We start from the raw sequence: 23160 nt of genomic DNA, 5'->3' as shown, positions 1-23160 counted from the left end.
GAGACAGAGGAAAGATCAGGATCGACATTTTTCTTCAGTGTTCCATAGGAAAACCATTCTTTTATGTTTCTCTTTGGCATTTGCAAATACACACCAAAGATTTGCCTCCTGTGAGTTGTTTTTTTTTTTTTTTTTTTGGCGGGGGGTGGGGGGTGGGTAGAATGTCCTTGCCCAGCCCCTTCCTCACTGATTCTTAACCCTTCCCTCTCCCCGGATCCATAGTGCGCTCAGATCCTGACCCTCTGAGACTGCCCAGCCCCGAGACCCGCCACGTCCCCGCAGAACAGTCCATGCAGCGAAAAGATGAGAAACGTGACTGTGAAGCATGGTGCCCTTGATTCGACTGCTTCATTCATTTCAGCAGATGTCACCAGGGCCCTGTAGGGAAGATTGTGCAGATCTGTGTGGTCTAAACAGACAACTTCATGTAGATTGCACTGGATTTATCTTGGCTCTGCCCAGAGGTGATTTGGCTCTGATAGGGAGCCTTCTCATGGAGTGGTTTTGGCCTCTGAGAAGTGGCAGAATTGCTGAGTTCAGCCTGATTGTCCAGGAAGAGCCACATCTTATAGATTCTAATATTTCCTCAAGATCTTGGAATAGCACTGCTATTCACCAACTGATGCTTACTTATTAATTAAACATCTGTTAAACTCTCGATAGGTGCCAGACAGTGTAGTAGGTGGCCATATATTAGAATGAATAAACAGCTGAATCATTGCAGATGAACTTTGTTGCACTTCAGATAATCAAAAACATAATTCAAACTTGTTTAGGAAAATATAATAAATTTCATATGTCGTTTAAATACATAATTAAATAGATAAGATAATAGCTATTCATTACTCACCAAAGATCTGTTTTTTATAAGCACATTTCTCATTTAAATCAAACCCCCCCATCTCTGTGAGAGCTGTTTTGATGAAAAACTTTCACAAACAAGTGGCACATTTCTCACATCTGCTTTCTTAAGCAAAGTGTTCTTGTCTGGAGTTTGATTTGATTTTCTCTGTTGTGCATTGTGCCGTGTTGGGCAAATGAACCATACAATTGCACACCCCACCAGGGTGCTCCCAGTGACCCTGCCTGGCCAGGCTTCAGGGCACTGTTTCAGCCCTTTCTCTGATTCACTGTTTCCATCAGTGCCCGTCTGGGAGCGGTTGCCATCCTGCGTGACACATACAGCACACGTGCTCTCTCTGTGAGTTCTCGCCTTCCATGCCAAGTCTGCAGACTGACTCCATCTCAACTCTGACCCTCATACCTCACGCCGTCACCCTGGATTGTCCTGCTGCAAAGCCTCCCTACTTGCATCCAGCATCCTCCTCCTGCAGTCCTTCCCCGCAGGCAGGCAGCAAGCTCTTTCTTTGAAAACCACCAGTCAGATGATTTCATGTTCCTGATTCAGACCCAGCAGCCTTGCTCCACAACACTGATAGAAGTCCTGACCTCCCTTTCCTGGCCTCTTACTGCCCGCTGTGGCTGCTCTAATTCCCTCTGCCATGGCTCACAAGACTGCAGCCGTGTCATTCTCCTTCTCTTTATTTGGACAAACCAAGCTTTTGCACAGGCTGCTTTCCCCACCAGGCTGGCTTCTTCTTGCCGTGTGGCTCTTTGTGGAAATGGGCCTTCCTGGGCCTTACCTCAGCCCGCCCGGTCATGCTCTGTCATTCATTCTCCCTGTTTTCATTCTCCACGTAACACTGACTTGGTCCTCTGGCCCATCAGTGCCCGCAGCCTGCCATCTGGCATCCTTGGCTCACTGAGTATGGAGAGCTTGTTGACTTGAGCAGCCCTGCAAGCTGGGGAGAATTGGGTTATCTAAGGGATGTAATTCTGTCCTAAAGGTTTAACTCTTTTCCACCAGCCAGCAGGGTTTCCCCAGCAGCCCACCGAGAGAGCTGCCTACACTTGTCCAGGAGTCTGGGCCTCCTGCCTCCTGCTAACCTGTATAGCTCCTGCTGAGAGAACATCTGGGAGCTGTGAGAGCTGCATCTTTCATGGAGTGCCAGGGAAGAGGGTGACATGGCAGAGGTTCCCAGGCAAGGCCAGGCTCTCCTTGGAGCCACAGCCATGCTAGAGTGGGTGCCAGACCTCCAAGCCCCGAGAGAGTGTATTTTCCGAAACCCTCCACACATCCCTCAGAGCATCTCAATGGATATCTGTTCTGTGGAGCCAGCTGTGGTCAGCACTGTTTTGAGGAAAGAGAACTGACATGGTGGCTGGGTCACTGTGCTTCCCAGCACATCTCCGGGTAGGTGGAGGCAGATAAGTGACCCACGCTACGTCGTCTAGAGCTGGTGTTGGCCGACTCGGGGAACCCAGGCAGGTGACTCTCACTGGAAAAGACATAGCTCACCTCACTTCTTGCCTGCAGCCCTGCAGAGACAGTCTGTTCTCAGAGCAAGCTCACTGGACCTTGGAGGACCTGAAATCTGACTGATGGTAGGGACAACAGTTCTGTTGAATTAGCCTTGAGAGGGAGAGCAACCTGTCCAGGTGCTGAAATTTGATGAAGGGCTGAGTTGTGTGGTAAGTTCCTGCAAAACCTGCTCTGGGACAGGCAGGACTTCCACAGGGTGAGGAGGCTGGAAATACAATGGACCTCATGTGAACAAGAAGGAGAGATGACTTTGTCAACATCTGACATGAACCTGACAAATCAAATCTCTCTCCATTCTTCAGCCAGCCCTGCAGCTAGGGCCAGCTTCTCACCTGGGAAGGAGGGCAAGTGTGTGTGGTTCAGACTGGAGCAGCAGCAGACTCTCCAGACTTAGAACAGCATCACAAATATACATGCATGCATACAGACACACACACACACACACACACACACACACACACAGGTGCACAATATATGCATACACACACAAATACACATACACAAATACCTGCACACATAAATACCTACACACACAAATAAACACATGCATACACACACATATTATATCTATCTAGACATTTGTATTCCTGCCTTCTTTCTTTCTTCCCTCCTCACCTCACTCTCCCCCTCTTTTTCTTCCTTCTTTCCTTGGAAATAGAAATTTCTCCAGCATCACTAGCTGCTAAGAAACCAAGAGCTTCTAGATTTTTGTTGCCTACCTGTCCTTTGGTTTGGATGGAATTATCCTATCCCCATAAATCATGTGCTTTCTATACAAATTTACAACTTTGTACAAAATCTAAACTTGGTTCTACAACTCATGAAATAAAAGATGTTAGGAGATTGTTTTGTTGTTGTTTTACCAGATAATAGAATCCCAAAGACAAGTGAAACTTTCAGTGATTCAAAATAGTTTTATTGCAAACTTATTATTTTAAGGATTCCCACAAAATGTGATGAATTTCTAGAATTCTCTCCCTTCTGAATGTCTCTTTTCTCTGGCTTCCTGTGTCCTTCATAAAAAATAACTACACAATCCCTAACACTAGCTGACAGACCCGTGTCACCACTCGCTGGATTTGAAGGTCAGCGCAGTCTCCTTTAACACGGCAGGAAGTGGCTTGCTTTCCATGGGGCTGAGTCATCTGAGGTTTCCCTAGTGCTCAGCACAGAGATGACTGCTTTTCCTGCTTTGGGATTATGAAAATCATACTTATGAAAACAGGAGTGTTAGCATTTTGGAAAAGAGCTTCCCTTTTAAACGATACATGTGTAGATATAAAATTCAAACAATGTAGAAAAATACAGGCAAGAAAGAATATTAGACAGCCCATCACCCAGAAAGGCCTGATATTTAACAGGCGACCGAAATGTGGGGCTCATAACCCATGCATTCAAGACTCTAAAGACCCTGATTACCTTCTTACCTTCATGGTGGTCACATTTTATTGGCTCAATTTGCTACCAGAAATCATCAAAAATCACCACTGCACAGAATGCTTAGCTCACGTGGACTTCGCCACCTACTGAAGTGTAAGCTATAGTACAGGAAATATTATGTTATGAGAAGAGAAGAGAATGCCCTGGCACCCTGTTGTCTAGCAAATGTATCTAGGTCCCCCTCTGCACTGAGTTGGGCTGGTGGCAGGAGTGGGCATTCACGGCACCACTAGGCCTCACTCCGTGCACCTGACCTGGATCGAGCCAGCATTTCCAGGAAAGCCGCCTGCTGTACATCCTTCAGCCTGGGGCTGGGGGCTTCCCTGGCCGGGTTGGACCATAGCCCATGCTGGACCAGAGCCTATCCAGGGGCACTGCTCTGGTATGTTTCCTGGACTGCTGTCGGCCGGCCTAAGACCTCTCCTCAAGGATCCATGCAGGCCTGGCCCACCCACTCTCTCTGTGACCAGATACTACACAGGCTGTGATTTGACAAACTTAGTTCCTTCTGCAACGTTTGCTACTTCCTCTAAGTTCTGTCAGAGGCCTTCTTTTGTGGTTGATTAGTCAAACCTACCCCATTACCCTCGACATGTTGGCCACACCTAGTGCTCAAAGGTGAGCTCCTGAGGCCTTCCCAAACCACCGTACCCAAAACATCAGCCTCTGCCCTTGAGCATCTGGCTTTTTGCATTTTTGTTCATAGCATTTACCTACTCGATAGTATACTTGTGTTTAATTTCATGTTGGCTGCCACCCCACTAGAAGGCAAGCCCTGTGCGGGGGAGGACTTGGTCCGGTTTGTTCATCCCTATATCTCCAGCACATCAAAGTGGCCCTTTGATAAATGCACGTTGAATGAATGCACGCATGAATGAATACACTGCTCCAGACAGGGTTCTCCCACTTTGTTTCCAGCTCTTGGGAGCTGCGTGCAGAATCCATTGGCTTTGATGAAAGGAGAATCCAAGCCTTGGCAGATGTCCGAGCTGACCAAGGCCGTGCAAATGCTTTCATCATGTGTCCCGTCTCAAAGGGTTTTAACAGGAGGTACCGGGAAGTGGGAAAAACTGGAGTTGTGAGATGGTGGGCAGGAGGCTGGAGGAATGGCCCCATCCCAACACTGCCTAATCTCTGCTTGCTCAGCCCTCCACCTCCCCTCAGATCACACTCTTCAGTGTCCCCCTGAAAGCAGAGTCACTATCTCTATGTCAGGGTCCCCTGCCTGCACCTGCTGCTGCTCTTTGGAGCTTTGACGTTTTGTCACTTATCTAGGTGTCTGTTCTCAAAACACTGTGAGGCCCAAGAGGCCAGAGGCACCTGTCATTTGTTTTTCTAAGCCTAATGCCCAGGACACAGATGCCCAGGAGACAGATGCTGGGCATTAGGCTTACAAAGTGAACAGCTACAGATACACGCTGTCCCCAGAGATGATGGCACTGATGCCCAGGAGGCTGGACAAAGGACAGAGAGGGTCTCTTGAGGACCTCTACTCCTGGTGAGGACTTCGCAGCCTGTGCCTTACTTATGGAAGCACAGCCCTCGCAAAGAGCTGGGCTTTGGTTTACTGTAGTGTTCCTGGATTCCTCCCTTCAGAGACTCTGAGGGCCATGGGGACAGCTCCAAGACCAAGCTGCGGTCAAAGCCACCAGGACTGGGTGTCAAGTGGTCAGCAGAGGGACATACCCAGGACCGCTGGCTGCAGCCATGTCCACAATGCTTGACACTCAGCTTAGGCCGACTCAGAGTGGGGTGTGGCTGACAGCCCCCAAAGTCACTCTGGTGCGGGGAGGGAAGCTGGGGTAGCACTGCGTCCTGGAAAACCTGACCCTGAGGACCTCTCCCTTGCTTAGCTAAGAACATTAGGTCACTCTGTTTGCATCATAATGTCTCATGCTTCCCTGTTTAACAATTTTTTAAAATACATTTTTGAATGTTTTCCTTTCAAGTAATCTTGAAAGCCCTGGTTATAAGCTGAATACCTCGGACATGCCATACTTGTTCCTAGGGTCCAAAAGGAATCCATTCAAATTGATAAAATCAATTAATATTTAAAGAACAGATGTAAACACCAGAAGAATTTTTAAAAATAACATAACTAAGGTCAGGTGATGGAGGGAAATAGAAAAAGCACAGTGCTTCGAAAATTCTGTCTAAATCACGGGTACATTATCTCATCAAAGGATAGAGTTACAGGAGTAACAACAAAATGAGCTAGAAATGGAACTCACAATGTCCAAATAAGCAGGAGGAACACACACATCCAAAACAACACGCAGAATGTAAGCCAGACACAAAGAGAGAAAGCTTGTGCAAAACATGAAGACAAAACTGAGATTGAGGAGCTCCAGACTTTGTCCAGGATGGACATTTTAATATAGCATTTAAATATATATGGTATAACATAGCATTTAAGTATAATGCTATTTCACCTAAAGGTGAAATCATAAATTTACTGGAAGGAAATGTAGGAGAATTAGAAAAATAAATAATTTTGGGGTAAAGAAGAGAAGTATGAATAAGGGACAAGAAATAAAAACCAAAAAATTAATGCATTAACTGCATATAAAATAGAAATAATCTACATATTAATAAAACAAAACTTAAAAAAATTAAAACATGATACTGTGAAATATATTTGTATCATATATCAAATTCAAAGGGGTTAGTTTTTTTATTTCAAGTTATTATTATTAATCCATGATTAAAAAATCAACAACTCCACAGCAAATGGACAAGGGATAGAGACAGAAACAGAAAAATAACTGCCTCTTTATTTATTTATTTATTTATTTATTTATTTATTTTTATTATTATACTTTAAGTTTTAGGGTACATGTGCACATTGTGCAGGTTAGTTACATATGTATACATGTGCCATGCTGGTGCACTGCACCCACTAACTCGTCATCTAGCATTAGGTATATCTCCCAATGCTATCCCTCCCCCCTCCCCCCACACCACCACAGTCCCCAGAGTGTGATATTCCCCTTCCTGTGTCCATGTGATCTCATTGTTCAAATAACTGCCTCTTATACACAGGGAAAGATGAGAAAAACGCACTCAAAACTGCAGTGAGTTGCTCCTGCTTCACCCGGCAGGTTGGGACCCACCAGGGAGTGTGCCCACACCATGAAGTGAGGATGAGCAGTGTGAACCAGCACCACCTTCACAGAGGGTGATTGGCAGCATCACACAAAGTAAAGAATGCCAACACCACGTGCCTGACGCGTCCCCATGTAAGGACGTTTCCTGTACGTGTCCATACATGCATGTAGGCTCAGATGTTTATCATAGCAAACCCTTTATCCAATGACTGGGGCCAGAGCTGAATAAATCCTACACACACACAAAGCTAACCTCACTCCAAAGCGTTAACAGAACAAGGCAACCCTCTACTCTTGCTCAGAGAGAGAAACTAAGTGTAGAGCTGTGTATATAATATACTATGGTCTCTGTAAAAGCCACAGAGAAAACACCAGTCTGTGCCTCTTTGTGATTAGGTAAGAAACTAGCAATCATCTTTGTAGCTGAGAAGTGCTTTCTAAATTCTAAAATGCCACTTAATCAACCCCTTGTTAAAGGAATTTTTCAGCAGGTAGGGTCTAACATGATCATACACTCAATAGTTTTATTTTCTAGGTCACTTTCAATTTCAAATATCTTGTCTGATGTTAATGTTCATATATTCATCGTTGACTAAACATGTGTCTTAGTTTCTGTGTCTAAGGCCAACAGAAAGAGAATGGGTCCATAAGAGTCAAGGGCCGGAATTTCTTTTCTTGAGAAGCTGCCCTTGCTGGCTTATGCCAGAGCATGTTTTTTGGCCTCCCTCACAGGCCTCACAGTTCTTTGCCTTTCCTCTGCTTATCTTGACTTACATTTCCATATCGTTGCCCTGAAAAAGGGTAGGTAACTTTGACTTCATGCATCTGAAAATCCTTGATCAGACAGCTTTTGGAGAATGAACAATATTTCAGGAGTCAGGCCTTTTTCCCATGCCTTGTCATTCTAGCAGCCCGGCTTCCCTCCTTACCCAGGGGACAGCACAGTGCTTCTGTTTCAGCTGGGTGGTCCCAGAGAGCTTGAGAAGCCCTGCAAATGGATGGGCAAATTGGAGACCTGAGGTAAGCCAGGTGAGGCTGGTGTGTCTGCAACAGCCAGATGCCTTCAGTTGATTGCGGGGGCTGCATGCAATTTTTGTAATGTGAATTTTGCAAGCCTGTTCTGACATTTTCAACATTGATTTTGCAAACCTACCTCTCTGGATTTCTAAGGACTCTTTGGGAATTATTATTATTTGGTCAGATCATTAAAAATGCAAGGGGAGGGTGCTCTAACCAGTCCAACTCGGTGGCAGATGATTTTTTTGGCTACTCTGGAAAGAAATATTAATCTGAGAAACCAAACTCAACATCAGATGCAGGCAAGACAAAAGGGATAAGCAATGAAAAAGGACAGAAAGCCTTCCCCCTCCTCCAGCACCTGTCCTGCCAGGAGCTGTCCCTGGGGATAAAGGGCTTACCATGAATTTCCTCTGCCCTCTTATTAGACCATTGTACAGCCTCATGAAGCAAGTGTTACCCAAAGGACCACCAGGATGGCTGGGTAGTCGAAGAGAGGGCTTTAATGTCAACATCAGTTTGCAAACCAAACTGATGGAGAGAGTTTCCAGCGTGAATCAAAAGTGCTCTCTCTGAAGAACAAATAGAAGGTCAGAGGTTTTATAGAAAGAAGAAATGTTATGCATTGCTCTTTGAGAAATTTCACCAGCACTAGTAAGGTTCTGAGTAGCTGGCAAGCTCTGATTGGGAAGTGACAGCCATGGGCAAAGCTAGTCTGAGAGTTGCAGCAGGTCATTTCAGGAGTCTTAGATAAAACTGGTTTCAGGCTACTGCAGGCAGTTTCAGCTGCTAGGCCTACAGATAATTACATTTTTGGAGCAATGTATTGTGCTCTGGGTGCTATCCCCACTGGATTCTTGACTGTGTTTTAGTTGGGTGTGACAAGAATGGCCCAATCTGTATGATAAGTTTTCACAAAAGGAAAACTTTTCTTGCAAAAAACAAAGCGAAGATAGACTCAGCAGAGCCTTTCCTCAGCCTTCCTGTAGGACAAATTCTTTCCCCAGTGGGAAAGAATTTACAGGACCTGGGATCTGAATGCTTCTGCCTGGCCTTCTAGTCTCAACCTGGGCTTCAGCCCTCAAACCACCTTCCCCCTTAGGCTTCTTGCGTTCCTTCATTTATCCTGTCTTCACCCCCTGCCCCATTAGCCTCCTTCTCTCGGAGACCGTGGGTGGAGTCTTTCCCACTCCCAAAGTCTACCTGGGTGTTTCTTGGGCTCTTTGCCAGGCTGAGGCCCAGGTGCATCCCCAACACCTTCATGTTCCTTGGTTTTGCCCTGAGGGTTGCAGTGCTCCCACCCCCACCTGGGTACTGAGGCCACTGGAGGTTTTCATGTCAAGTGCCCATGAAGCTGGCTGTCCTGTCCTCAGGACAGGGCAATCTTCCTGCTTGAAACCCATTGTGATAAAATAAATGTCAGGCTCAGCGGGCAGGTGGGGTTTGCATGCTGCCTTGACCTTGGAGGGGCCACTTCACTGCCTCCTGGCTGTCTCTTCAGCAGAACAAATGGAGAAAATAATGGGACAAAGACCGAGCTGAGCAGAAGGGCAGCCACTCCCTTCACCGACCCGCGAGCCAGGCAGAGTAAGCGATGGTGCCTGTGGGTGAAGCCCTGGGTGCAGCTTCCCTGTTCCCACAGTCCCAGCCGTAGGCCCCTCTGCTGCCTCAGTGGACTGGTGATTACTGCTCTGAGCTATGGTGTTCAAGGTAATGTTTCTAAAGAGGGTTGGGGAGCCACGCCCCGAGAGTTCACGCCCTGGTGCAGCCCCTCCAGGGTGGAATCTGGGCCAGGCGCTGACTCACGCCTAACCAGCAGAATACCTACCAGTGAACGGTGTCGGTTTCCCGCCTGCCCGCGAGAGGCCACAGCTGCTGCTGCTTCTCACTGGATCACTCATTCCTGGGAACCCTGAGCCACCCTTCTGGAGAGGCCACAAGACAGGACATGTGGAGACAATAAGAGAGGCCCCTCCACCTGGTCTAACCTCCAGATGACCCCCGGCCCCTCCACCATCGAGCTAAAACTACAGGAAAGACCCCAAGAAAAACAGCGGGAGAAGTGTCCAGCTGAGCCCCCACCCTACCCAACCCAGAGAGGTGACAAAATGGGTGTTAAGTCACTGAGATTTAGGGCAGTCTGTTAAATAGCAAGAAACAACCCAAACAGAACCCAACGGCCTGGCTCCGTCCACCTCTGCGGCTTGCTGGTTGTGCGGCCTCTGGCTGGTTTCTTAACCCCTTGAAGTCACAGCTTTCCAGTCTGTACAACAGGCATAGTCCTGCTCAGACTGGAACTCTGCACATCAGAATCAATGCATAATGGCCCTTGCCGTCATTCATGTCCATAGAATTAAGAGACCCTGAACAGGAAGTTAGGAACATTTCTGCCCCTACAAATGGCTTTCCCTTAGATGAACCAGGTCTGGGAAGCTAGAAGTCCAGTGGCCCCCTATAAGGTGAATGTGTTATGTGCATGAGCAACATGCTTTCTCTTCTCCTGAGAGCAGGGAAGCACTCTCTGTCCCACAGTGGGCAGTGGGCCTGTGGCCCAGAGCCTGTCCACTCCCCTTTTTTTCCTCCTCACACTGACACCCTCTGCAGTGATGGGCCACAGAGGGCACAATCCACCCAGGTTTGGGAGCACAGCCCACGTCTGACTCACTGACAATACAGGGCATTTCCTTCAAAAACAGGGTTTCTGTGCAGACATTTTGTGTGTATTTATATTTTTTGAATTAAATTGTGGCAAAATACACATAACAAAATTCATCATCATGACCGTTTTTAAGTGTTCAGTTCAGTAGTGTTACACACATTCACATTGTTGTACAACCCATCTCCAGAACTCATTTCATCTTGCAAAACAGAAACCCTGTGCCCATTAAACAGTGACTTCCGCCCCTCCCCGCAGGCCCTGCCAGCCGCCCTTCTGCTTTCGGTCTCTATGGAGTTGGCAACTCTAGCACCTCATTTAAGAGGAATCCCACATTATTTGTCTTTTCATGACTGGCTTATTTCACTCAGTATAATGTGTTCAAGGTTCACCCTTGTAGCTTGCATCAGAATTTCTTCCCTTACAAAGGCTGAATAATATTCCACGGCATGTTTGTGCCTCATTGTGTTTACCAGTCACATGCTGATGGGCATCTGGGTTGCCTCCACCTTTGGCTATGGTGTTTAGTGCTGCTAGGAACATGGGGTTACCAATGTCTCTTTGAGACACTAATTTCAATTCTTTTGGTTATACACCCAGAAGTGGAATTGCTAGATTAAATGGCAATTCTACTTTTCCTTTTATTCTAATTTTATTTTATTTTTTTAAGAACCACCATATTATTTCCCGTAGTGGCTTCACCATTTTACAGTTCTACCAATGGTGCTCAAGGGTTCCAATTTCCATACATGCTCATTAACACTTATGACTCCTGGGTTTTGTTTGTTTGTCTAATAGTAGCCATCCTAATGGATGTGAGGCGGTATCTCAGTGTGGTTTTGATTTGCTTTTCCCTAATGATTAGTGATGCTGAACATCTTTTCATGTGCTTATTGACCCTTTGTATATCTTCTTTGTAGAAATGTCTATTCGTGTCCTTTGACATTTTTTAATTGTTTTGTTGTTGTTTGTTGTTGTTTAGTTGCAGGAGTTCTTTATATAATCTGGACATTAACCCCTTATTCTATATATGATTTGTAATATTTTCTCCCATTCAATGGGTTGCCTTTTCACTCTGTTTATTATTGTTTATTATCATTTTTTGTCCTTTGATGCACAAAACATTTCAATTTTGATATAGTCCAATTTATCTATTAGTATTTTTACTCTTGCAGCACCTGGTTTTGGTGTTATATCATTGCCAAATCTAATGTTATAAAGATTTTCTTCTATGTTTTTTTCTAGGAGCTTTATAGTTTTATGTCTTATGTTTAGGCATCTGATCAATTTGAATTAATTTTTTTATATGATATGAGGTAAGGTCTAACTTCTTGCTTTTGCATATGTATTTCCAATTTTCCCAAACCATCTGTTGAAAATTTTACCCTTCCTTCATTAAATGGTCTTGACATCCTTGCTGAAAATCAAGGGTGTATTTCTGGGCCCCCTATTTCATTCCATTGGTCTATATATCTGTCTTTATTCCAGTACCACAATGTTTTGCCTACTGTAGCTTTGTAATATGATTTGAAATCAGGAGGTTTGAGTCCTCCAACTTTGTTCTTTTTTTCTCAAGATTGTTTGGCTCTCCAGGGCCCCTTAAAATTCCATATGAATTTTAGGATGAATCCTGCTATTTCTGCAGCAAATCCCTTTGGGATTTTGATAGAGATTGCATTGCATCTGTAGATCACTCTTGTTAGTTTTGACACATTATCAATATTAAGTCTTCCAATTCATGAACAAAGGAAATCTTTTAATTTCTTTATTTCTTCTTTAATTTATTTCATTGGTCTTTTTTTTTTTTGAGACAGAGTCTCACTCTGTCGCCCAGGCTGGAGTGCAGTGATGTGATCTCGGCTCACTGCAAGCTCCGCCTCCCGGGTTCACGCCATTCTCTGGCCTCAGCCTCCCGAGTAGCTGGGACTACAGGCGCCCGCCACCGCGCCCAGCTAATTTTTTTGGATTTTTAGTAGAGACGGGGCTTCACCGTGGTCTCGATCTCCTGACCTTGTGATCTGCCCACCTCGGCCTCCCAAAGTGCTGGGATTACAGGCGTGAGCCACCGCGCCCGGCCGGTATTTTTTTAATGTTTTGGTGTCCAAGTCTTTCTCCTTGCTGGTGAATTTTATTTCCAAATGTTTATTCTTTTTGATGCTGTTGTAAATAGAATTGTTTTCTTAATCCCCTCTTGGACTTGTTCACTGTTAGTGTGTTCTGTTTGCCCTGATTGACATGGGAAGCATGACCTAGCTATGTCTGTAAGATCTTAGGACCCTCCCTCTGAGCAGCTGGAAGAGCCCGGGACAGCCTTGGTTAGGCCGCAGTTTTCCAGAACAGACTCATAGCCAGGGAGATCAGTTGCTCACAGCACCCATCTGATAACCGGTTGATAACCGGCACCACAGGAGCTGGCTGCTGGCTCTGCCTTCCTCCCTCCCTAACCAGTGTCTGTGCCTTCTAGTGAAGGGCGCTAACCTTACTATCTCCACCTGCTGATGCCTGTTGGCATTTAAAGTGAGTTTGCATCGTATCAATGACGCCTACATAATACAGTCACAATAAACTGATACGGATGCTCCCTAAATCCCAGCTAATCTTTTTCTGGCCTTAGCCCAAATAAGTTGAATTGATAGATAAACAAAATTAACAAAGAAAAAAATGTGCCGAGATCCTAATGCAGCTCCTTAGAAAAGAGCCCTAAATACCCCGACCCTGCATCCACTGGGATGATGAAGTTCAGGGAGAAGCCTGTGGGCCTCCCCTTCTGCTCTGGAGGGTGAAGCTTTTACTGCCAACGAATGTGTCTGGGCCCCTCTAGGGCAAAGGCAGCTATTGGGGTGGGAAGTGTAGAGGAGACCCACCCTCCATTGTCAGTGCCATCATCTGGTCTCTCCTGTAAACTTTGCAGCCCCAGAGGGAAGCCATCTGGGCGTTAGAGGCTGGAGAGCCCCAGACCAAGGCGCCTTATCTGTCGGCACACTTCTGGAGCTAGGCCCATGACCTCACTCCACCCATGACCTTCCCCACTGACTTCACAGTTCCAGGAATTGTTAGAAAAACCCTTTTTAAAATTCCAGGAAGCCCCAGTCCCCTCAGTGCTGCTGCTCATGCATTGAGAAAGAGAGAGGCGGAGCCAAGCTGGGGTCTTTGTGATCCTGGAGCCCCCACCTCTGGGGCCTGGGGCTGGGGTTAGTCTCTATCTTTCTCTGCTGGCCCTTGGTTCCACAATGTGGAAGCAAGACCAGGCCCTGCAGATAGAGAAGGTTCTCGTGTTCTTGGCCCCCAGCCCTCCAAAGGAAAACCTTTAGCTTAAGGGACTCTCTACCTCCTTTGAAACTCATCCCTCTTCACACTTCGATATGAAACCCAGAAATTCAGAAAACAGAAAGGAAGAATAAGAGGAATGTTAAAAGCCAACGCTTTTCCAGCTCTCATGGTGTGCCTGACACTGTGCAAAGGGCGTTACCTACAATTACCTCATTTGACTCTGACAGTAGTAACCCATGAGACATACGTTGCTATTACCTCATTTTACAGATGACACACTAAGGCGCAAGGCAGCTGCACATCCACGGCCAGCCTCGTTGTCTTCAGGGATTTGTTCAAAGTTCATTCTGAATTGTAAGGTAACCACTGCAGAACACGAGCCTTTCCTGGGTATGTGTGGTAAGTGCTTCATAAATGCTGTTCTGAGGCTAGGTGCTAATGGAGACGGGGCAGATGAGTGGTAGAGTGAGCCCCGGTCCTAGGCCCAGTTCTGCAGCTGCTGGAGGAGCAATCCATCAGCCTGCTCCAGGCCCCGGCCCTCTCCTGGGAAACAAGTCCTTCTGCCATATGAGCTCCCTGAGGACTAAATGGGACTGCGTTGCGGACTTAGTTGCTGGACACACATGATTTTGTCACCTCTGTACTAGTGTGACTGGGACCCACCTTCCAGGCAGAATAAATCCATGCTGAAATTGACTTGATGTCTGTGCTGCTATTCTTGGAGAAAAAGATAAGAATCAGGAAATAAATAGTGCATAAACCACACAACCAGAAAACACACCGAATAATCGTGCTGACGATATAATGACAAGAAGCGGGGCCTTAACAAATAAGGAAAAGGGCCGCGGTAGGATGATCTGCTGCTGGTCTAAGAGGTCAGCTTCTTGTTTGGGCTGAAGTCTTTGGGATTCTTGGAAAGCCTGGCCAGTCATTTCACGTGCTGAAAGGATTGTGGGCCACGTTTTAATCGTGGTCAGATTATCAGGAGATTCTTGAGGTCTGAGGTCAATTTAAGCTCCTGGTCACCATGTAAGCCTCACAAATATGGTCACTGTCTGTGGCAGCTGACCCGGGTGATGCTTGTGTGGCGGAATTCTTCAGTTATCACAGAAATAAATACCAATTGGTGGAAAAAGAATATTTTGTTATTCTCTAGTGGACTTTAGGAATGGCTGACAGAGATAAAGGACCCTTCAGTAGCACAGGCTACACCATGCCCTTTTTTAAATTATTTTTTTATTTTTCATTATAATTTTTTTTAAAGATAGGGTCTCCCTCTGTTACCCAGGCTGGAGTGCAGTGGTGCAAACATGGCTTATTGCAGCCTCAGCCTCCTAGAATCAAACGATCCTCCCACCTCAGCCTCCTGTGTAGCTGGGACCACAGGCACATGCACCACGCCTGGCTGATTTTTTTTATTTTTTGTAGAGTTGGGATCTCAGGTTGTTGCCTAGGCTGGTCTAAAACTGCTGGGCTCAAGCCATTCTCCTGCCTCAGCCTCCCACATTGCTGGGATGACAGGCCTGAACCACCACACCAGGCCTCCATGCCTCTTGAGATGTCAAACATCTGGATCAAGATACGGAAAATCAGAGTGCTCAAATATAGCTTAAGTCATCCAGAGTGAGCTCTCTACGGATTACACAGGGCACTCAATCCATAGCATGATGCCATGTTTTCCAATGGACAACACTGCTTTTAAGTAAACCAGGTTTCTTTATTTATAGTTGTTTGTGAATTTAATATGCTAATAAATATTTTAATTGCCAAGCCAGGGTAAGTATACAGCTATGCTCAAGCATAATTTGACAAAACATTCAAACTCATTTTGCTTCTTTTTTTGAATGGAATATCTATTGACTTATTGTGGAAAATACGTGATCCAAAAACAGCGGCTTGCCAAATACTGCTTGAAGAAACCTAAAGATAACTGAATCTTTCACACTTAGTCGTGCTGTTTGGAGGTCTGGTTTATTTTGTTCCACTGAAATCCTTGGCAGGGAAGTGGAATAAAAGAAAATCTTGCTGTGACTTAGACCTTCTGAGTTTGCTAACACCTTTGCATCATGTTTAGAAGACTACATTCTTTTCACCCTGTGAAGTGTGAAGTCTGGGATGTTGGGTGACTTGGAGAGTGGCCCTCTTTGGGTTTTATCCTCAGCTCTTATGAAATTTTGGTGCTTCAGGGACAGTGTGTCACAGGCAGCCAAAAGCGCTGGATAAGCAAGAAGAGCCATTTGGAACTTTCTAAGTCTTATGCAAGTTTTGGCAAAAAAAAGAAAAAAGCCTTCCTTGCTACTTTTCAGGGAGGTCGATACTAACATTTGCCCCCCACCCAGGGTGTGAACTGGAGGCATCACTGCCTGGATGAGTGCCGGGGGCTGTGGAGGGTCCTCCGATGTGACTCTCATTCCCAGCATTTTTAGGCCCCATGTCTGTGTGGGGTGCCCAGCCTCATGCATCCCTCCTGTCCACGCCCAACTTCAGAATTACCCAAAACACCCAGCAGAAGGCTGCACTGCTTCGAAACTCTTCTGCTCTTCCACTCCTGGTTCCAGGCCCCCTGCTTCCGCCTGCTGCTATAGTCCACCTCCTCAGAATGCCCACCGTGTCTGTCTCCCTGCAAAGCCCACTCTGTCAGCTCTCAGCAGCCTCAACAGGGCTCAGGCTGCGTGCTGTACCCCAGCTATGCCCCAAACACCTGGAGGGTACCGCTAAAGCCTTCCGTGCCTCTGCCTTCCCACCATACTTGGTGGACTGAGCCTGGGCCAGGAACTGGGAAATGGCTTCCCTTTGGTCCTGGACTAGGGAAGGGAACTGACCCCGGGGGGGCCTATGGGTTGTCCCCTGGAGGCCAAGGTGGAAGGTGTTATCTGCCTTTTATGGACCAGAGTCTCAGGAAAGTTCAACCCCATTGCCCAGGCCACAGTCTGGCTGACATCAAGGCCCTGTGTCTTGCTCACACTCCCGGCTGGCCCTGTCCATGAGTGACACTGTAGGGTGAGATTTGTGGTTTGCAGCCTTTTTGTTTTTTTAAAAGCATTGAAACCCCTCTTATACCTAATACTACCAGAAGCCCCTATAAAAACACATAAACATAACATTGACCTGCCTGGGTTGAGAAGGGGCCTTGCACCCACGCACCTGCTCACCCTCACCTCTTCTCCCAGGGTCATCCCGGCAGGGGTCTTATCCGCACAGTTGGAAACACTGGGCTGGCCAAACTCCACCATTCCTTCCAGTGCTGATGGTCTGAGTCTGTTTCCTGAAGTGTGGCCTGAGACCACTTGCAGAAAAATCTCCTGGAAGTGTGTTACAAAGACCCCTTTCTGGAGTTCCTGCTTTCCCTTACAGTCAGATGGGAAGAGGAAGCAGGGATGGTATGCAGAAGGAAATCTGTGGTTTACAGCCTGTGTAGTGTTTTAGGCCAACTCTGGTTTGAGAACTATTTTCTTCTGACCTCCATGTCTTATCAAAGTAGATAAGAAAAATATTCCATGCGAGACATCAGCATTAGGCAAAGAATGAGAATGGAGTGAGGACACCGTGAGCAGCTGGGTGGCCCCTCTGCAGCCAGGGATGGTGCCACTGAGTCTTCTTGTGGTGCTGCATTCCCTTTATTGGAGGGTAACTGGGGAGAAGGCATGTCTCGGGGCCTCCGAGAAGGACTGTGCCCTGGGAGGCCTTCCCTCCCTCCATTTCTCTATCCTCTGCCTTGTCCCCACTTTTCAGGTTATTTCTGCCCTTCACGGTCCCACTCAAGTCCTGCCTCCCTCAGGGAGACCTCCCAGACCTCACCAAGCCGTGGGCACGTGGACCAGAAGCCGTGGACCCCAGAGGCTCATTTAGGGATCTGCTTTCTGAACCCAGGTCCTAACATCTGCACTGCAGCGAGCATTTCTGGTGCCTCAAGTGAGTCACTCCAACTTCCAGGTCAGTGCCCGGCACACGAGGGGTGCTTTTATTAGAGGTATTAGGTGAGGCCTCCCTGCAGGCAGTCCACACCCTCAGCTCCCAGATTTCCACCAGGGTCACCCAGTGGGAAAGGGCAGCTGCCTCTGCATCCCCATGAGCCCAGCTCGCCCTCTCTAAGGGACAGGGACCACCAGCCTCACAGTGGTGGGTGGCAACACCTGGTCATTTTCTGTCATTCTCCTGTCATGATCAGCTCACTGAGAGGCGATGGAGCACTGAGTGCCAGCATCTTCCAGCACCAGAGGAGCTGACTCTGAATAGACAGCTCGGCAGCGGCCTCAGCACAGAGCAGGGGTAAGGGTGGGGCCCACCTGCACTTCCTGGCCGCCTGTTCCCTAAGTGCATATTGATTGAATAGCGCTGCCTCAGAACTAGGCTGCCTGAGTTTGAATTAGGCGCTGGTGTTAATTAGCTGTGTGATCTTGGGTAAGTGACTCAATATATCTGTGCAAGGGGGATAACCATATGGTCTTCCTTATGGGGTTCTCATGATGATTAGTTCATAATATAAAGTTACCCCCCCACCCCATGCAGAGATGAGGCGGAGGGGCTGCCACCAACCAGGATGACGGAGGAAAGGGGGAGATGCTGAGCAGGCTGAGGGTTTCGTGGCTGTCCCTGCTGCTGGCTTCACAGTCTTCTTCCCGCTGTGCCACTGCCCATGCCAAAACCACATTCACCATCTATCCATGCAGCAGGGTGACCTGCAGTGCATGGAACCCCTGGACCCCTCGGCCTCCCAGGGCCAGCCTGCCCCATCCCTCAGCCCGGTCACTGTTCCCAGGCTTTAGGCCCTGTAACTCTGGCCTGTCCAGCTCATTTCCAGCCTACAGACCTCTCTTGGGTCCCCAAACCCTTACTTAGGCCCCAGCCAAGGCAGAGCCTGGCTGTCTTGGACCCTGCCTCTCCCTGCCCAGTGTCCAATAATCCACAGCACTCCCTTCCACAGCCATGGGCCCACCCTTGACAAGGGCTATGTGCCCTGGAACCCGTGCCTCTCACCTTCACGCCAAACTCCTCCTTTTCCTAGACCCCTGATTCCCAGCGGGCCGAGGTCAAGCTGCCTTGCCTAGTTTCTGTCTCCTGTGGCCCCTCGATGCCAGCTCCTCCCTGGCCAATCCCCATTACCAAAGTCCCCCATTCTAACTTCCAGTGCCCAGGCCCCAGTCCAGGCATCTCCGGGTCCATGTACTAACTGCCATGCCCATGTGACCCGAGTACCAACCTCTGCCCACTCCACCTGGAGTTAAACCTCCTGGCTGTGCTTCGGCCAGGCCAAGGGCCCTGATGTGCTGTCCCCAGCCCTTAGTGGCCCACAGCCCCTGGGTTTCCCTGCGTTTTGTGCCCCCTGCTCACATCCTGCTCCGTGAGGCCTGCTGGCTCTGATCTCCAGCCCAGGCCTGGCCCCGCATCAGGGCCCCTTTTCTTCCCAGGCTCATGGCTCCCACTGGTCCCAACTCAGGAGTGAGATTCCTCAGAATCCTGTGGCCCAGACTCCTTTCTTCTCCCACTCAGGCAGCCCCCTCAGTCCTGACTCCTTGGGGTCCCCTTGGTCCCCACCTCTTCGCTTCCTTTGATGCCTCCTTGCCTCTCAGCTTAACCTCTTTACTTTGCTGCCCTCCAGGAATTCTTGATTGTCCCTGACCCCAGCTCAGTCCCCTCCCCGAACCCCACCAAGGCAACCCCCCAGCACTCCTGCCTGCCCTCCCGCATCAGCCCTGATCCTAGTGCCCAAATCACTCTAAGTCCCCTTGCCTTCTGCTATAGCTGTATCTGGTGTTCTAGAATCTTCTGGTCTCTAGTTTTTCTTCCCTCCAGCCTGGCCCCTCAGGTCCCTGCAAGGCAGGACCTGAGCTCCCTAGGCAGGGGTCCCCTCTGCATGTACTCCTGCCCCCTCATTTCTGAGCCCAGGCCCTCAGGCAGGCCCCTCCTGTTGGAACATCTCAGGTTCAGCCTGTGACCCTGGACCCCCAGCGTCTGCCAGGCCCACGGGAGCTCCAAGCTCTGGAGACAGATCCAGACTTCCCCCAGGTCCCCTTTCACCCCAAAGCCACATTGTTTCCATTTAGAGCAGTGGCTGTCAACAGGGTGACACTGGGTGACATCTGATAGGTTTTGGTTGTTGCTCAACACCCTACAGTGCCCAGGACAGTCCCTATCACAGGCAGTGGTTGGCCACAAATGCCCACAGTGGCGAGGTGGGGAGACCCTGGGTTTGAGTGACAGCCTAAACCCAAGGCCCCAGGCTCCCGGGGGTGGGGGCGGAAGGCCAGGAACCCCTCATGTCCTGAGTAAAGTTTACATGTGGTTAGGCTTTGCCAGTGCCGTCCAGTAGTACTTTTTGTGATGATGGACGAGTTCTGTATCTTCATTGTCCCGTACAGGAGCCACCAGCCACAGGCAGCCACTGAGCCCTTGGCATGTAACCCGGTAACCCATGCAACAGAAGACCTGAGCGTCCAGTGTTGCTAGCTTGAAGTAACTTCAGTGGTGTTCCCCAGCGTTTTTCTCATCCCCCTCCCTTCCCTTCCCCTACAGCTTTCTTCCTCTTTCCCCTCCTTCTGAGTCTTTCGTCCCCAGTCCTGGGAACCTTTTTTCTGACTTGGTGTTTTCTCCTGAATGCCTCCTTCCTGGCCCCCTAATCAGAAATGCAGAAGCCACCTGCCCCACACAGGGGGCCACTTTCCCTGCATCTGGCACTCACCAGGACAGTCATAGAACTGGCCTTGGGTGCTTGGGGAGAGTGGAGAGGTCTGGGGGGCATCCACTGGCCTCAGCCTCAGAGCTTCTCATCAGTAACCCAGGAGGCAAAGGCCCAGCTCAAGATTAGCCCAGGCCACTGTATCTGTGCCAAGACCTACAGCTGTCCCTGCAGGGCGTGCATCTCTGCAGCCCAGGCTATCACAATGGTGTCCCTTTTGGTGGGGATGTGAGGCCTGCTGCTGCCTGGGAAGAAGCTGACAGGATTGTTGGTGCTGTGGGGAGAAGCTGGTGTAACTGAGACCCATGAGGGAGGCCCTTTGTGGGTCTGTGGCTGGGAGGAGCTCTGGGGAAGATGGGCCTTGAGAAATCCCAGCTTAGCACCTTTGACAGTTGCTCCACTGAGTCACCCTAGACTGCAATCTCACAGATGTTCTAACCACCCTCTCCCTGGGGAGCCCTTGGGGGTGCTGCAAGCCCAGTCCTCACTCACTGGCTTTGTGCTTCTCTTCCCGACTTCCTTTTTTTGCTCCTGTTGAGAAATGTGGGTCCAGGGCTGCGTGCTCCAGTGTGCGGAAGGAAGGGCAGCGTGCTCTTTGGACTGAGCTGGCTCAAGGGAAGCTGGGTCTGAGGGGAGACTGACCTCGACCCTTCTTAAATGAAACACCTTTTCCCTGCGTCTCAGTCACCGTTACCTGGCCTGATCACTGTGTGCCACACCCCATCACATCCATCCCCACAAGAATGCCAGGAGGAGGGGTCATTGGCCTTTTTGTCAGCACAAACCTCTGGAGGCCCAGCTCCCAAGACCCGCCAGGCACACCTGCCAGAGTGCCTTAACTTGGGATGTCTGCAAACCTCTGTCCATGGCCGAACCCACCCCACTGCCTGTTACTGTAAATAAAGGTCTATTAGCATGCCACCATGCCCCTCCTCCGATGCATACAGTGCCCAGCTCAGCACCTGGTGCAAGTAAGCACAATCTGGCTTCCAGCCATCACTGCTGTTGCTACTAACACAAATATTAGGCCCCTTCTAGAATGCAAAGATAACCCAGGGCTGCTCGTTCTGTGTCCAGATCACAGAGTTTTTCTTTTTATCCTTATCAACTTTATTGAGGGATAATTTACAGGCAATAAATCATATCCATTTAAAGTTATTGTCAAGCTTTTAAAGAATTAAAGTTCGTCTTCTTCAGAAGCTTACCGAGGACTACAGGCTGTGGCGTAGAGCCCTGGAGCAGCCTCCACTGAGGTTCTGTATTTCAGGTCACAGTTGACATATAGGTGGGAGGTCCAGTACGTGCAAAGTCACATGAAAGCTTGGGTGTCAGAGTGCATCAGGTTATGGATTCAATTACAGAGCAATAATCACTGACCCTGTCAGATGTTATCTTACGTGTAGGAAAAGGTAAGACCAGGGCCATTTATCTGCAAAGAATATAGTGACTCAGGCAAGAGTCCGGAGAGGGTGTGTGCTCCATCCTGTTTTGTCTTCAGAGCATCTTTCTGGGGAGCTGCACATCGTTATAGAGACAGGCACTTTGTGAAATTCTGCTGCCAAGCACAAATGAGCAAACGTGGTTTCCTATGTTTACTACTTTGTCTCACAAAGCGCACATTCACAGTGCATTATTAAGGGGCCCTGGCAGCACCGCCACAGTGTATCTCTGCTCCCTCTTAAAGTTCCCCGTGCCCCTTGGCAGACAGGCCCCTCTCACTCCTGGGCCCAGGCTACCATTGACCAGCTTTTTGCCACTAGAGGTTAATTTTCATTCTATGTGATTGGAATCATACAGATGTTCTTGTATCTGACTTATTTCACTCCACATAGTGATTCTGAGATTCAAATGTTGTGTGTATCAGTTGTTTGTTCCTTTTTATTCCTGAATGGGAGAGGGGATGTCAAGCTGCACAGTTTTATTCCTGGGCTACAGTGGAGATGGATGGTTCTACCGTCTCTCTGAAACACCATCTGCAGTTTCTTCAAAATCTACCTACACATCTTCCATCCCATCCTGAGGAGTCCCCGAGGGTTGAGAAATGCATGACCCCACACCTGGCTGACGTGTACAACTGGCGGAGTTAGTTTTTCCTGTTGACACTGGCCACGGGCGCCTCAGCATGCACAGCCCTGGCCTTGCTCCTCTAGGCATGCTGGGGGCTTGTCCACACGTGTGGTCTACGGATGGAGGAGAGTGGCCTCTGGCCCATGCGTGCCATGCACTGGACCTTCCCAGGGAATCAAGTTACATGATGTTTCCTTGAGGAGCTACATACAAAGTAAAAAACTGAAATCAAGAATATCAGTCATTTCTGAATATGCCAATTCGCCCATGGTGCAGTTTGTACAGCTTAATCACTGCAGAACAGTTTTGAGGATAAAATTAACCAAAAACCTAAGTAGACAAAATATTCAAATTTTTGGAATCTGTCACAAAAATCCACAGATGACTTATTTTCCATTGTAGCTTATAATGTCCAAAAGCCTTTCTAGTGACTTATAACTGATGGTGAGCTCCCACTCTGTGGCAGCTGTGGGACACTGGTCTAAGGACTACACCCTGATGCCTGGTGAGTTACAGAGGCCATGAGAAGATGTCAGTGAACCTG

General features: G+C 48.3%; 1 long non-coding RNA gene across 1 annotated transcript, besides 2 other annotated features; it reads left to right on the top strand.

Annotated features, from left to right (window-relative positions):
* Window positions 3365–3659: an enhancer, noted in NCBI's record as "tiled region #14145; HepG2 Activating DNase unmatched - State 9:DNaseU, and K562 Activating DNase unmatched - State 5:Enh". NCBI's record gives its function as "activates a minimal TATA promoter and a strong SV40 promoter by Sharpr-MPRA in HepG2 and K562 cells {active_cell/tissue: HepG2 | K562}" and the evidence as "EXISTENCE:reporter gene assay evidence [ECO:0000049][PMID:27701403]".
* Window positions 9139–10338: an enhancer, noted in NCBI's record as "MED14-independent group 3 enhancer chr20:23117070-23118269 (GRCh37/hg19 assembly coordinates)". NCBI's record gives its function as "activates an origin of replication core promoter dependent on BRD2, BRD4, P300/CBP and CDK7 cofactors, and independent of MED14, by STARR-seq in HCT116 cells {active_cell/tissue: HCT116}" and the evidence as "EXISTENCE:reporter gene assay evidence [ECO:0000049][PMID:35650434]".
* LINC00656 (long intergenic non-protein coding RNA 656) lies at window positions 14135–21703 on the top strand. Its single transcript, NR_034149.1, has 4 exons — window positions 14135–14272; window positions 17606–17806; window positions 18042–18142; window positions 20233–21703. It is a non-coding gene; the product is annotated as a long intergenic non-protein coding RNA 656 (long non-coding RNA).
* The last annotated feature ends 1457 nt before the right edge of the window (window positions 21704–23160 follow it).

Source organism: Homo sapiens, chromosome 20 (assembly GCF_000001405.40).
Source record: "Homo sapiens chromosome 20, GRCh38.p14 Primary Assembly".
Taxonomy (NCBI): domain Eukaryota; kingdom Metazoa; phylum Chordata; class Mammalia; order Primates; family Hominidae; genus Homo; species Homo sapiens.
This window is presented reverse-complemented; position numbering and strand designations above follow the sequence as displayed.